Source organism: Homo sapiens, chromosome 7, assembly GCF_000001405.40.
Source record: "Homo sapiens chromosome 7, GRCh38.p14 Primary Assembly".
In the NCBI taxonomy this organism is placed as follows: Eukaryota; Metazoa; Chordata; class Mammalia; order Primates; family Hominidae; genus Homo; species Homo sapiens.
The window spans coordinates 101,044,356-101,060,112 of NC_000007.14; the positions used below are offsets into that span (position 1 = coordinate 101,044,356).

Genomic DNA, 15,757 nt, shown 5'->3' on the forward strand with positions numbered 1-15,757 from the left:
ACACTTTTCAAAAGAATTTTCCTTTTTGAAACTGACCTTTCTTTTCAATCTCCACTCACTACTTTTTGTGGTTTTCTTCTTAAACATTTACTCCTAAACTCCTTTTGCTCTGACTTACTTGTTTTCCCTTTGATAAAACCTGCATCAAGGTTTTCTGTCTCAGCACTCTCTCACTTCTCTGCTCTCACTGTTTCTTGCACAAGTTCCCCTTTTTTGAACAAAGCATTACCTCTCTTTGCCTGGGCACCTCAGTCTCCAGTATTCTGTCCAGAAGTCCTGTTTTCTCTCTTTTGTATTCTGCAGGTCTCTATTCCATTGCACTTTGTATGCCATGATGTTATTAACTCTGAGTGGTTTGTTTTCTTTTAAACTTTTTAGTTTACTTTGTAAACTTTCTAGTGGATTTTCTCATTGATTTTGTTCATACTAAAGTACGAACTTTTTTTTTGCAGAAGGTTTTTGCCTATTCATTCATGTGTACCTTTGTCAAGTATCTCTGCCACCATTCACTTTTATTTTGATTCATCTTATCCTCTGAGCACCCACTATAGAAGCAAAAGAAGATTCCTTCACTTCTGTCAGCTCTGAATTCTACCTCCAATGCCTATGAGTGTTTTGCTGTCCTTATGTATCCCCTTCCTTTCTCTGACTCAAGAACTTTCACTCAGCCTTCTTCTCTCTTGTTAGGGTGAGCGTTGCACCATTCAATACCTGCTATTATAATATCCTGTATATTTTATTATATGAATCATGTAATATACTAATAGACCTGTGAGTATGACTCCCAGATTAAGAATATTTTGCATACATTTTTAAAAGTATGCTAATTAAAATACTTGAAAACACTGATTTATTTAGATGAATAGGCTCACAGGTATATGATCTGTGTCTGCCCACAGAACTGCCCAATCCCATCTTGAATTGATGATGATGAAGGGTGGTTCTTCAGCTTTTGACTACTACATTTTCTCTGGACTTTGTGATTTTTTTCCTTTGCTGAATTCTACTTTGCCTGAACTTTTTTCTTTTCTTTTCTTTTCTTTTTCTTTTTTTTTTTGATGGAGTTTCACTCTTGTTGCCCAAGCTGGAGTGCAATGGCACGATCATGGCTCACTGCAACCTCCACCTCCCGGGTTCAAGTGATTCTCTCACCTCAACCTCCCAAGTAGCTGGGATTACAGAGCACACCACCACATCCAGCTAATTTTTGTATTTTTAGTAGAGACAGGGTTTCACCATGTTGGCCAGGCTGTTCTTGAACTCCTGTCCTCAGGTGATCCACCCGCCTCAGCTTCCCAAAGTGTTAGGATTACAGGTGTTAGCCACCATGCCTGGCTGGATTTTCTATCATATGGCTTTTTTCTCTGGATTGTCTCCAATATATCTTTGTCTTCTTGAGCTCTCTGATTCTCAGATGAGTGGTCTGAGAATTTTCAGGTGGGAGACCTGGACCTTGTATTTCCAGGAAGCCTCGTAGGTGTCTCACGACAAAGGCCAGGTGGCTGCAATGCCACTGGACCCACCATCTGGTGTCGGTCACATCTTTGAAGCAGATTGTCCTCCTTCTGTCTTCCTCTTCTTCCCCAGAGATTGGCCTTCCCTTAGACTGTTGAGCAATGGGTGAACGCGCCCCAGCATCTGCTTCTGTTGTTTCTGACTAGCCTGTGTTTTGGCACTTAGCTCAGGTCTGGACGTCTTCAGTAGTGAAAGCGGGAGAGAGATAGAGGGAGGAGACTGATTTAGGATGTATGGGTTTCCAGTGTGCCCAGGACTCTTGACTTCTCTCTTCTATTCTTTCCAAATGTCTTGGAGCAAAAGCCCATAAATAGAGGCTGCATGCTGTGATTTTCACAAGTGTGGATCCTGCTCTCTGAGTCTGTTTAGGGTAAACCGGAAGGCAGAGGTGAGGCAGGTCTTTGCAGAGTCTATACATACCTCGTGCACTTCCCCAGACAAAATACACCTTGAATACTGATCTGCCCAGGCACAGCGAGTTTCAAGAAAAGCCAAAGAAAACAGAGCTTTAGATTTTCCAGGTTGATTGGCACAGATATTCTAGAGTTGGCTATCACTACTTCCTACCTATTTAAACTAAGAGGAGTTTATTTGTTGAATTGCAATTTAAAAAGGAGTTGTTAGGCTGGGCATGATGGCTCATACCTGTAATCCCAGGATTTTGTGAGGCTGAGACTGGAGAATTTGTTAAGGCCAGGAGTTTGAGACCAGCCTGAGCAACAGAGCAATACCCCATCTCTACAGAAAAATTTTAAAAATTAGCCAGGCATGGTGATTCATGCCTGCAGTCCCAGTTACTTGGGAGGCTAGGGTGGGAGGATTGCTTAAGCCCAGGAGGTCAAGGCTGTAGTGAGCTATGATTGCACCACTGCGCTCCAACCTGAACGAGATGGTGAGACTCTGTCTCAAAAAATAATAATAATAAAATGCCCGGCACAGTGGCTCACACCTGTAATCCCAGCACTTTGGGAGGCTGAGGTGGGTGGATCACAAGGTCAGGAGATCAAGACCATCCTGGCTAACACGGTGAAACATCGTCTCTATTAAAAATACAAAAAATTAGCTGGGCGTGGTGGCAGGCATGCCTGTAGTCCCAGCTACTTGGGAGGCTGAGGTAGGAGAATGGCGTGAACCTGGGAGGCAGAGCTTGCAGTGAGCCGAGATCACGCCACTGCACTCCAGCCCGGGCGACAGAGCAAGACTCCGTCTCAAAAAAAAAAAATTAAAATAAATAAATAAATAAATAAATAAATAAAATAAGATCTAAACTCCTCCCTCAAACTCCACATCCCAGTAAATTAAAAAAGAATCAGAATGAGTCATAACAGTAACGATTGCCAGTATGGGCTTTTCCAAAGCGGGTGTTGAGGAACAACGACCATCTAATTCTCAACCTGGGTGGAATCTAGACTGTTCAAGTTCACCCGGGTTCTCCCTTCCTCAGCCCTGACTGTGTCGCTCACCTCTCACAATACCAGGTTTCTCTTTCTTCACGTTTTTGGGGTAAAGTCAAGCATGCTGGACTAGGACTGGGTGGAGTGTAGCCTGCACTCGGACCCATCGGGACGTGGCTTAGCCTCTCTCTGACTCACTTTGCGTATCTGTGAAGTGAGGATAATAGTAACTGTCCTGTGCACCCCTGGGGTCTCATGAGAGTATCATATTAGGCAGTGTCGGAGCCGGGCGCAGTGGCTCACACTTGTAATCCCAGCACTTTGGGAGGCTGAGGTGGGCAGATCACCTGAGGTCAGGAGTTTGAGACCAGCCTGGCCAAACTGGTGAAACCCCGTCTCTACTAAAAATACAAAAACTTAGCTGGGTGTGGTGGCACGCGCCTGTAATCTCAGCTACTCAGGAGGCTGAGGCAGGAGAATCACTTGAACCTGGGAGGTGGAGGTTGCAGTGAGCCAAGATCGCGCCATTGCACTCCAGCCTGGGTGACAAGGGTAAAACTCGGACTCAAAAAACAAACAAATTAGACAGTGTCCGTGCAAACGCATTGTAAGCTGTAAAGTGCTGTGCTCAACATGTAACCACAGTAGATCCCTGCTCCTTCCAGTGAGGTGCCTCAATGGAGGAACTTGGAAAGAAAACTTCTGTGATTGTTCCACAGGCTTTGGAGATGGGTGCCAGAATACGGCCTCTCGCTGCAAGAATGGAGGCACCTGGGATGGGCTCAAGTGCCAGTGTCCCAACCTCTATTATGGGGAGTTGTGTGAGGAGGTGGTCAGCAGCATTGACATAGGTGAGTGCAACCCCAGGCCTTCCCCCACCCCATGCCCTGGGACCCGACCTCCATACAAGCAACAGTTCCTGCCCCACCTTGATGTGAGGCCAGGAATAGGGCCTCTTCTGGGCTGTGGTGTTTTTTGTTTTGTTTTGTTTTGTTTTGTTTCCACCCAGTGCTATGAATGCTAAAGCATTACAAAATGAATAAAATAGGCCAGGCACGGTGGCTCTCGCCTGTAATTCCAGTACTTTGGGAGCCTGAGGCAGGATCACTTGAGGCCAGGAGCTCGAGACCAGCCTGGGCAACATACTGAGATCTAATTTATTTATTTAAAAAAAAAAAAAACTTGACTGGGTGTGGTGGTGCATACTTGTAGTCTTAGCTGCTTGGGAGGCTGATGTGGGAGGATTGCTTGAGCCCAGGAGGTCAAGACTGCACTGAGCTATGATCTCACCACTGCACTCCAGCCTGAGCAACAGAACAATACCCTGTCAAAAAAAAGAAAGAAGGAAGGAAGGAAGGAAAAAAGAAAGAAAGAAAGAGGGAAAGAGATAAAGAAAGAAAAGAAAATGAATAAAAAGGAAAGAAAAGGAAATAAAACAAGAAGGTGTATTTTGGATACAAATTTGGCACAAAATTTTACCATAAAATACAATGGAGCTCACTCCCTCCACCCAGGCTGGGGGCAGATCTTCTGAGTAGGAAACTCAGAGATGCTTTGCTCAGTAAGTCTACCCGCCTCAGGGCCACCGGAGACTATCTCTGCCCAAATGGAACTGACTGTGACAGTGACCAGTGTGAAGTTCACCGAAGAGCTAAAAAACCACTCTTCCCAGGAATTCCAGGAGTTCAAACAGACATTCACGGAACAGGTAAGTCTGGGAGAGCAAGGCCCCATAGCTACTCAGTTCCCCCCAGAGCAGAGTCTGTAGGGTAAGAAGGTAGCTGGGGGCTGTTCCCTTGTTAGATGTGCGGGAGTTCTCTCAGGCCCCCACGTCCTCAGGGCTTGCCAGTGCAGGAGGGAAGAGATGAGGCCAGGTTTTACCTGGGGGCTGCAGGAGGCCCCTGGGGTGGAGCAGGTCTCTGGAAAGAAACCACTCCATTTGATGAGTGTGCTATGATGCTGCGGGACAGGATCATCCCCTGGTCCTGTGACCTCCTGATGTCCCACAGAACGGCCCCGTGGTCCCTCTGGGATGACACAGTGGCCCCTTGCCTTTCAGATGAATATTGTGTATTCCGGGATCCCTGAGTATGTCGGGGTGAACATCACAAAGCTACGGTAAGTGTCTGGGCCCTTGGGAAGAGGGTCTGTGGCGTGGAAGCAGTGGTCATAGTTATAAAGGCAATTAGAACTGTGCCCCCTGCATTACTGTGCCCAGGCAGCTATTGCAGAATACCACCGATGGGGCGGCTTAAACAACAGAAATCTATTTCTCCCAGTTCTAGGGGCTGGAGGTCTAAGATGAAGGTGTGGGTGGGTGTGGTTTCTCTGGAGGCCTCTCTCCTTGGCTTGTGGGTGGCTGCCTTCTTGCTGTGTCTTTGCATGGTCTTTCCTCTGTGCACATCTCCCTGCTGTCTCTGCATATCCAAATTTCCCCTTCTTATAAGGACACCAGTCAGACTGGATGAGGGCCTACACTAATGACCTCATTTTAATTTACTCACCTCTTTAAAGACCCTATCTCCAAATATAGTCACATTCTGAGGTTCTGGAGGTTAGGGCTTCAATATATAAATGTAGGAGGCACCAGGTGCAGTAGCTCACACCTGTAATCCCAGCACTTTGGGAGGCCGAGGTGGAAGGATTATTTGAGGCCGGGAGCACAAGACCAGCCTGAGCAACATAGCAAGACCTTGTCTCTACAAAAAATACAAAAATTAGCAGGGTATGGTGGTATACACCTGTAGACCTAGCTACTCAGGAATCCGAGGCAGGAGGATCACGTGAGCCCAGGAGTCAGAGGCTAGAGTAAGCCAGGATCGCACCATTGCTCTCCAGCCTGGGCAGCAGTGAGACTCTGTCTCTAAAACAAAAAACCCAAAAACCTCAAGGATGGCCTCTTCTGTGGTTCCCATTCCTCCATCCATCTTCATCGCTGAGGCTTCCCTAAGACCTACCAGAGACTCCCTTTGTGGAAAGTTCTCTTAGGCACAGGCTGCTGGGAGAACTCCTATAGCAGGGGGCCCAGCGCAGTGTGTAGGACAGAGCCATCACCCCAAACTGTCCTGCCCCAAATGCCTAGGACAGAGTCATCACCCCAACTGTCCTGCCCCCAGCTCTGCCTTCCCTTGGGATCAGAGAGGGTGAAGCTTGCCTGGTACAGATTCTAGAGGTAAGCACCCTATTCTGACCCCAGGACGTCTTCCCTTCCCTCTTCAGTCTTGGCAGTGTGGTGGTGGAGCATGACGTCCTCCTAAGAACCAAGTACACACCAGAATACAAGACAGTATTGGACAATGCCACCGAAGTAGTGAAAGAGAAAATCACAAAAGTGACCACACAGCAAATAATGATTAATGATATTTGCTCAGGTGAACTCTGGGCTTCCAGGGAGGGAAGGGAGAAGGCATCAGAGCTGGGGCATGACTTTCTTAATAGACAGGAGGGCGGGAGTGAGGATGGTTAATGGGTGGGTGCAAGAATCACTGTGGGGTCCTAGAGTCCCTGGGGTTGCAGCGCAAAGAAGCCCCAGGATTGGGCCGAGAGAGTCTTTAACCTTCATCATCCTCTGGCCCATTTTTTTCCCTGGGGTAAGGGAAGGGACAAAGGCAAATGGAGAGAGTAGGAGAACATGGAGATCCAGGAATTCGTCCCGGAACCTGCAAGGCCAGACATACAAGCAGACCAGATCTTGCAGGGTGCCAGGACTAACGGCTATAGGACAGGGGAGTCTGCTGGAAATGAGGACCCATGGGCCTCGTTACACAGGGGTTCATCTAAGTGTGTGGATCATGGCAGAAGAGGGAAGAAGGAGGCATTGGGCAGGCATGGTGGCTCACGCCTGTAATCCCAGCACTTTGGGAGGCTGAGACGGGCAGATCACTTGAGGCCAGGAGTTCGAAACCAGCCTGGTCAACGTGGTGAAACCCCATCTCTACTGAAAATACAAAATTAGCCAGGCATGGTGGCAGATGCCTGTAGTTCTAGCTACTTGGGAGGCTGAGGCAGGAGAATCGCTTGAAACCGGGAAGCAGAGGTTGCAGTGAGCCGAGATTGCACCACTGTACTCTAGCCTGGGTGACAGAGCAATACTCCATCTCAAAAAAAAAAAAAAAAAAAAAAAAAGAGTAAGAAAGAAAATAAGAGAGAAAAGGGAGGCATAGGACAAAAAGGCTCAGGACACTTGGAGGGTCACTGGACGCGAGGCTGATGCTGCCCCTCTGCCGGGGCCGGATTCCCACCTCCCCATCGCAGCCCACCCCCTTCTCACACACACACGTCTCAGCTCCCTGAGGACGCAGAACAAGCGTGTATGTGTCGTGAGGGGTTTTATGTGTCTCTTTCACAGACATGATGTGTTTCAACACCACTGGCACCCAAGTGCAAAACATTACGGTGACCCAGTACGACCCTGAAGGTAGGTGATAACACAAGGGGTTTGGGGGAAGGCTGGAGAGGTGGGGAGCCCAGGAGGAGTGGGACAGTGTCCCCCCAGCCCTCTGATCACGGCTGTTCCCTGTCCCTGCACCCCCCACCAGAGGACTGCCGGAAGATGGCCAAGGAATATGGAGACTACTTCGTAGTGGAGTACCGGGACCAGAAGCCATACTGCATCAGCCCCTGTGAGCCTGGCTTCAGTGTCTCCAAGAACTGTAACCTCGGCAAGTGCCAGATGTCTCTAAGTGGACCTCAGTGCCTGTGAGTGCTCCCCCATCTCCTCCAGCCCAGCCCAGACGTCCTGGTCCTCCCCTCCCCTGCAGGGCTTCACCCCAGGCATTGCCTGGAGACCAAGGTCATGGGACTAGGTCCCAGCGTCTCCTGAATGTGTCCAGCTGCAGAGGAATTGGGTTGGGGATAAGGGAAAAACATGAGTAGTTGAGCTCCAAGGCTGTGTCCAGAACAGCCTAACCATGTCCTCTCTGTGCTAAGGAGGGCTGAGGAAGGTGACAACCTCCTGGGAAGGTTGTCCGACTGAGGGAACAGAGACAGAGCCTTGCTCTCTCTCCAGAGAGAGAACAAGATCCTCTGCTGGTGAAATAGAAACAGAAGGTTACACACCCATATGGGGAGTGGGGAGAAGCCCTCTAGCCCAGTCACAGAGGTAAGAAAGCGAAGAAAAACATTGTCACTTTAAACAGAACCAAAGAGAGAGAACAGCTGGAGCATCAGGTGCGGGAAGAAGCCACATGTGGGCAAAGACCTGAGTAGTTAATTTGGGAAGGCTTCCTGGAAGAGGGGGTCACAAGCTGGAAAGGGGAAGAAAGGAACAGGGCTTAGAGAGGGCATCTCAAGGCAGCAGGGAAGAAGAGCTTCAGGGGTGTAGTGGGAGCTCTGGATCAGGGCTGCAGCCTGGCTTTCTTGACAGAGAGGAAGGCTGGAAGTGAGGAGGTTAATGGGTGGATGCAAGATCACTGTGGGGTCCTGGAGTCCCTGGGGGTGCAGCCCAGGGAAGACCCAGGGTTGGGCCAACCGTCCTAGGTCCTGGGTTGCAACTGGAGGCAAAATCTAAAAGCTTGGAGTGGGAATTGGGCTCATTTGAGGACCACCTCCAGGGATGCTGGTCTTCATCTCTGTTCATCCCCTCGGGGTGCCTTGCTTTATGCCCCCTGGCAATCTCTTCTTGCCTCCTCTTCATTAAACACCCACTGGGCAGGGCCCAGGTCTGAAGCTGGTGCTGACTCCGTTCTCTCTCCCCAACCTGCCGCTTCTCTCCCATCTCAGCTGCGTGACCACGGAAACTCACTGGTACAGTGGGGAGACCTGTAACCAGGGCACCCAGAAGAGTCTGGTGTACGGCCTCGTGGGGGCAGGGGTCGTGCTGATGCTGATCATCCTGGTAGCTCTCCTGATGCTCGTTTTCCGCTCCAAGAGAGAGGTGAAACGGTGAGCGAGCCCCTACCACCTCCTCTTCCAACTCCCTCCAGCTCCTCCTCTTCCTCTGAACCCTCTGTCTCTAATCACTTCATAGTCTAGGTGGGCAGCGGGGGCAGCTAAAAATGGGGATACAGCTTGTCCCTGGTCCTTATTCCTGTTCCCCAATCCTAATGGGGTCTCTCTGATGTTTCCATCACTAGGCAAAAGTACAGATTGTCTCAGTTATACAAGTGGCAAGAAGAGGACAGTGGACCAGCTCCTGGGACCTTCCAAAACATTGGCTTTGACATCTGCCAAGGTATTGGCCTTCCTCTCTGAACTCAGAATGGCTCAAAATGTGGAAACAGGCTGGGTGCGGTGGGCTCACATCTGTAATCCCAGCACTTTGAAAGGCCAAGGCAGGAGTATTACTTGAGGCCAGGAGCTCAAGATCAGCCTGGGCAACAACACAGCAAAACTCTATCTCTTAAAAAAAAATAAAAAATAAAAATAAAAAAGGGAGGCTGAGGCAGGTGGACCACTTGAGGTCAGGAGTTTGAGACCAGCCTGGACCACATAGTGAAACCCTGTCTCTACTGAAAATACAAAAAAATTAGCTGGGCATGGTGGCAGGTGCCTGTAATCCCAGCTACTCGGGAGGCTGAGGCAGGAGAATCACTTGAACCCGGGAGGCAGAGGTTGCAGTTAGCCGAGATTGTGCCATTGCACTCCAGCCTGGGCAACAAGCACGAAACTCCGTCTCAAAAAAAAAAAAAAGAAAAAAAATTTTAAATTATCTGGGCATGGTGGCATGCACCTGAAGTCCCAACTACTCATGAGGCTGAGGCAGGAGAATTGCTTGAGCCTGGGAGATGGAGGCTGCAGTGAGCTGTGATTGTACCACTGCACTCCAGCCTGGGCAACAGAACAAGACCCTGTCAAAAAAAAAAAAAAAAAAAAAAAAAAAAAAAAAAAGAGTACATAGGAGGCACCTGGGAAGACCCTGAGGCTTATAGAGTGAAGGGGGAAAATATTTCCCACTCCAAAATGTTTGGCTCCACAGCTAAAACCTTATTTCCATTACTGACTCCTGTGAGACCCTGGATGGGGCATAGTGAACTGAACCACTGGGGAGACACAGGTTCCTTGAGGGTGGTAGATTTCTCTAGTGCACAGATTAGTGCTCGGGAGTGGGTGAGCTCATTAGCAGGGGAGTTGTACCTCAGTAAAGAGACTAACATTAGATTTTGCTAGGTTAAAGGCACATGTTAAAATTTCTAAAAATAGAGTCTTTAAATTCTAAAGAAGGAAATATGTGGAATGAGAAATTTCTCAAAATAGTCTTTAAATTCTAAAAAGGGGAAGATTAGAATGAGGAAAAGTCCAGTCAACCCACAAAGAGGCAGGAAAGGGAGAAAAAGAAAAAGGAGGTGAGACGCAGTGGCTCATGCTTACAGTCCCAATGCTTTGGGAGGCCGAGGCTGGAGGATCTCTTGAGGCCAGGAGTTCAAGACCAGCCTGGGCAACATAACGAGTTCAAAAAATTAAAAAAATTAGCCAGGCACAGTGGTGCATGCCTGTAATCCTAGCTATTCAGGAGGCTGAGTCAGGAGGATCACTTGAGCCCAGGAGGTCAAGGCTGCGTGAGCTATGATTGCACCACTGCACTCCAACCTGGGCAACAGAGCAAGACCCTGTCTCTAAAACAAAACAAACAAAAAAAATGTGGCTCATGCCTGTAATCCTAGCACTTTGGGAGGCTGAGGCTAGTGGGTCACCTGAGGTCAGGAGACCAACCTGGCCAACACGGTGAAACCCCGTCTCTACTAAAAACACAAAAATTAGCTGGACATGGTGGCATGTGCCTGTAATCCCAACCACCTGGGAGGCTGAGGCAGGAGAATCGCTGGAACCTGGGAAGTGGAGGCTGCAGTGAGCTGAAATCGCACCACTACACTCCAGCCTGGGCAACAGAGCAAGATTCCGTAGAAGGAGGAGGAGGAGGAGGAGGAAGGGGAAGAGGAAGAGGAGATAGGACACATAGAAAATAGAAAATAAAATGATAGGACGTAATGCAAATATATCACAAATCATAATACACATAAGTAGATTAAACTCTAGTTTAAAAAGGATTTTTTTAAAAAAAAATCTAGGTATCCACTGTCGGTGGGAGGTACATGTTAAATAGAAACACAAAGGTTAGAAACAAAAGTGTAGAAAAGACAAAACAGGGTAATACTAAACAAAGTGTCTGTTGTTTTGTGTATAGCTGTACTCATTGCAGGCACATAAACTTTAAAGCAAAAAGAATTACTAGGTATAAAAATGATCAATATTAGGAAATGGCTTACTCTGTTAGACACAAGTTTAATTTGTATGCTCTGTTAGTACAATCTCGAAATAGATAAAGCAAAAACTGACAAAGCTGCAAGAAAAAAATTAACAAATTCACCAACATGGTAAGAGATTTTTAAAACGCCTCTCTTAGTAATTGACAAAAGTCAGTGAGGATTACAGAACTTTTGTACAAAATAATTAGCCTTAATACAATACAGAACACCACATTCAACAAATAGAGGGTACACATTTATTACCTGAGTCCACAAGAAAACTTTTAAGGATGGCCATACACAGGCCATTAAAAAAGCCTCAAAAAACTTACAAAAATTATTTAAATCAGACGATATTATCTGACCATAATGCAAGTATGTTAGAAATCAATAACAAAAATAGTTTTGGAAAACAAAAACAAAAATCCCGTATCTTTGGAAATTTTTTTCAAGTGTCTAAATAATGTATGGATCAGATAAGAGATTATAGTGAAAGTGAGAAATTAGTGTCAAGACTTGTGGGATGCAGCTACAGCTATACTCAGAAAATTCATAGCCTTAATATGCCTGTATTAGGGAGCTGCTGAGTCAGGTAATGTTGACAGTTTGTCACATTTTCAAGGGTTTGCAGTTTCCTAGGGGTAGAGAAAAACTGTCTCATCCTCCATCAGATGGGATTAAAGGGAGAGATGAAAGTTTGTCCTTCTAACCTCCTGTTTCCATGGTGCTTTCCATCCCTCCACAAGATGATGATTCCATCCACCTGGAGTCCATCTATAGTAATTTCCAGCCCTCCTTGAGACACATAGACCCTGAAACAAAGGTAAGAAGGGCCTGGATGGGATGCTGGCCTCCCCCAACCCTGCGACTTTCTTCTTCTCCTTTCCTACATGGTAGGACCTTCAGAAAAACAGAACCATGTTTACAGTTTATTGGTCCAGGTGATCCTCCCAGGTCCATACTGCCAGGAAACAAGCCTAACTCAGGGGAAGAATAAAAGCTAAGTAGCAAGGTGGAATCACTTTCCTTTGACCCCTGAGGCTTCAGGTTCGGAGGTTTCCTTCCCTACTCTAAGTACATCCTTGATGGCCAACTTACTTAGTTATTTTAACTTGTAAACACACATAAAAGTCAAAATAGCAGTGCAGTAAATACTTACATATTCCATCTAGCTCAACAAGGCTTAACATGCCATATGTTTCTTTCTTTGTATTGATCTATTCACTAATTTTTGCTGAATAATTTGGAAGTCAGCTGCCAACATTATGACACTTGATCTCTAACCATTTCAGCACACACTTCCCAATACCACGATTATATCCAATACATTGATCATAACTTCACAATATCGTCTGGTACCCAATGTTTCCAATTAGCCCAAGGACATCTTTTATTACTATTTTTTTTTCTCAGATGTAGATATAACAGATTTCACTCACTGACTTCCGTTATGTCTCTTTGGTCTTTTAATCTAGAATGGGCTCCTACATTTTTTAACATATTGCTTTTTTTAAGAGTCTAGGATGGTTGTCTTGAAAAATGTCTCACACTCCTGGTTTGTTTCATGGTGTCATCTAACTTGCCCACCCATCCTTAGTATCAGAGGTATTAGAGGTATTCTAGGATTGGAAATACTGGAGGTTGGTTCTAGAGGCTTAACTGGAATCAGATTAAACATTTTTGTTATATCATAGATAATGCTATCGCCTCACTTCAACAAGTATATAACATCAGGTTTTCCCCTCATGATTAAGGCCGAGATTGGTCACTTGGGCAAAAAGTGACCACTCCTTGATCACTGCTTTAATATGATTTAAACTAGATGGATATTTGAGGGTAGGAGAAATAACAAGTGTGAACGTCTTCAGGTGCTATGCTCCCTTGACATAGCCCTTTGGGCAAGGATGAAATCTCCAGCAAGGATAACTGTAAACCTACCTGGCGGGGAGGGGAAGGCACAATTGGTTTGTGCTAGAATCCAGGTAATGGGACAAGTTCTAAACCAACCACTTAGGCCAGGTGCGGTGGCTCATGCCTGCAATCCCAGAACTTCGTGAGGCCAAGGCAGGAAGATTGTCTGAAGTCAGGAGTTTAGGACCAGCCTGGGCAACAAAGTGAGACTCTGTTGCTATAAAAGAAATAATAATCATAGCCAGGTACAGTGGCTCACACCTGTAATCCCGGCACTTGGGGAGGTCGAAGTGGATGGATTGCTTGAGCCCAGGAGTTTGAGATCACCCTGGGCAACATAGTGAAACCTCATCTCTACAAAAAATTTAAAAATTATTCAGGTGTGGTTGTGTGCACATGTAGTCCTAGCTACTTGGGAGGCTGAGGTGGGAGGATTGCTTGAGGCCAGAAGTTACAGGCCATGGTGAGCCGTGATTGTGCCACTGCACTCCAGCCTGGATGGCAGAGTAAGACCCTGTCTCAAAAAAATAATAAAAAATAAAAATAATTAAACAGAACACTTCCTATCCCAATCCTCCTTATGCTTCCAGAATCCCAAATTCCTCATGGGCTGAGCCCTCACTTGGTTTTATCTCTCTTTTCAGATCCGAATTCAGAGGCCTCAGGTAATGACGACATCATTTTAAGGCATGGAGCTGAGAAGTCTGGGAGTGAGGAGATCCCAGTCCGGCTAAGCTTGGTGGAGCATTTTCCCATTGAGAGCCTTCCATGGGAACTCAATGTTCCCATTGTAAGTACAGGAAACAAGCCCTGTACTTACCAAGGAGAAAGAGGAGAGACAGCAGTGCTGGGAGATTCTCAAATAGAAACCCGTGGACGCTCCAATGGGCTTGTCATGATATCAGGCTAGGCTTTCCTGCTCATTTTTCAAAGACGCTCCAGATTTGAGGGTACTCTGACTGCAACATCTTTCACCCCATTGATCGCCAGGATTGATTTGGTTGATCTGGCTGAGCAGGCGGGTGTCCCCGTCCTCCCTCACTGCCCCATATGTGTCCCTCCTAAAGCTGCATGCTCAGTTGAAGAGGACGAGAGGACGACCTTCTCTGATAGAGGAGGACCACGCTTCAGTCAAAGGCATACAAGTATCTATCTGGACTTCCCTGCTAGCACTTCCAAACAAGCTCAGAGATGTTCCTCCCCTCATCTGCCCGGGTTCAGTACCATGGACAGCGCCCTCGACCCGCTGTTTACAACCATGACCCCTTGGACACTGGACTGCATGCACTTTACATATCACAAAATGCTCTCATAAGAATTATTGCATACCATCTTCATGAAAAACACCTGTATTTAAATATAGAGCATTTACCTTTTGGTATATAAGATTGTGGGTATTTTTTAAGTTCTTATTGTTATGAGTTCTGATTTTTTCCTTAGTAAATATTATAATATATATTTGTAGTAACTAAAAATAATAAAGCAATTTTATTACAATTTTCATGGTTCCCAGATCTTTCCTCCTGTTTCCCATAGCTCCTGTTTCTAACCTCCCAGACTCTCTCTCTCTCCTCCAGAACATAAAATCGGATGCTTTTGGGGTTCAAGACAACAAGAGAGAGATTTGCAGTGGAAAGAGGACCATTCCTTGAACTCCACTGACACCATTTGCTGGTGTCCAAGAGGCAAGGCAGACAGACAGACAGACACACACACACATATACACATACACACAGAGGGGGGGGGGGGAGAGAGAGAGAGAGAGAGAGAGAGAGAGAGAGAGAGAGAGAGACTCACTTCCTACCAAAGAAAACCAAATTTTGCAAGCTCTCCTTCTGAAAACGGGCTTTTATTTCTTTCCATACATCTAAAGAGATAGAGACCTGGGTTCTATTTCAAGCTTTCTCGTGAATTCCTTGGGTTAAATCTGGGAAAAATCTATTTGGACTCAGTCTTGCCTTCTGCCGAATAAGGACTAGGTTATTTCTAAAGCCTCTTTCATCGCTGTCCTTCTTAATATTCCTAGGACGCTTTTTAATAATTATTGTTATTCCAGCCATGCCGCTCAGGATTCATTGTATTCTTGAAAGTCTGTCCCACCCGCCACCCGCTTCAAAGCCTAACCTGAGACAGAACCTGGACTCTGCTTCCCCCTACTGGACACTCTGAGCACCTGCAGGCACCATGCCGTTTCTCAGCGGTCCCCTTCTGGCCTCTCCTGTGACAAAAATATTCCGTTACACTTGATCATTTCCATATTTGCCATCAAAATTCTGTTTCTTTTCTTTTCCTTTTTTTGAAACAAAGTCTCACTCTTTCGCAAAGGCCAAAGCACAGTGGTGTGATCACTGCTCACTGCAACCTTGAGCTCCTGGGCTCAAGAATTCCTCCAGCCTCAGCCTCCCAAGTAACTGAGACCACAGATGCCGGCCACCACGCCCGGCTAATTTTTAATTTTTTCGTAGAGACGGGGTTTCGCTGTATTGTCCAGGCTGGTCTTGAATTCCTAGGCTCAAACGATCCAACCACTTCTGTCTCCCAAAATGCTGGGATTCCAGGCATGAGCCACTATGCCCGGCCTTTTTTTTTTTTTTTAATTTTGAAAATTTGCAAATCTACAGGGAAGTTAAAACAATAAAGTTAAAAAAGTGAACCCTACCTGGGCGTGGTGGCTCACGCCTGTAATCCCAGCACTTTGGGAGGCCGAGGCAGGCGGATCACCTGAGGTCAGGAGTTCAAGACCAGCCTGGCCAA

The 15,757-nt window shown here is 46.6% G+C and overlaps 1 protein-coding gene and 1 pseudogene across 2 annotated transcripts in view; both read left to right on the forward strand.

Annotated features, from left to right (window-relative positions):
- MUC17 (mucin 17, cell surface associated) overlaps positions 1 to 14,504 on the forward strand; it is a 38,779-nt gene extending 24,275 nt beyond the window's left edge. The window contains exons 4-13 of one of the 2 annotated variants that reach the window (NM_001040105.2): positions 3,629 to 3,760; positions 4,490 to 4,617; positions 4,969 to 5,027; positions 6,129 to 6,280; positions 7,258 to 7,326; positions 7,448 to 7,607; positions 8,631 to 8,792; positions 8,984 to 9,081; positions 11,839 to 11,915; positions 13,648 to 14,504. In NM_001040105.2, the coding sequence (NP_001035194.1) occupies positions 3,629 to 3,760; positions 4,490 to 4,617; positions 4,969 to 5,027; positions 6,129 to 6,280; positions 7,258 to 7,326; positions 7,448 to 7,607; positions 8,631 to 8,792; positions 8,984 to 9,081; positions 11,839 to 11,915; positions 13,648 to 13,689 (1,079 nt within the window). In that variant the 3' untranslated portion in view covers positions 13,690 to 14,504. The remainder of the gene's footprint in view (positions 1 to 3,628; positions 3,761 to 4,489; positions 4,618 to 4,968; positions 5,028 to 6,128; positions 6,281 to 7,257; positions 7,327 to 7,447; positions 7,608 to 8,630; positions 8,793 to 8,983; positions 9,082 to 11,838; positions 11,916 to 13,647) is intronic. The other variant, NR_133665.2, reaches the window with a different exon arrangement.
- Positions 13,944 to 14,212, forward strand: RN7SKP54 (RN7SK pseudogene 54; annotated as a pseudogene).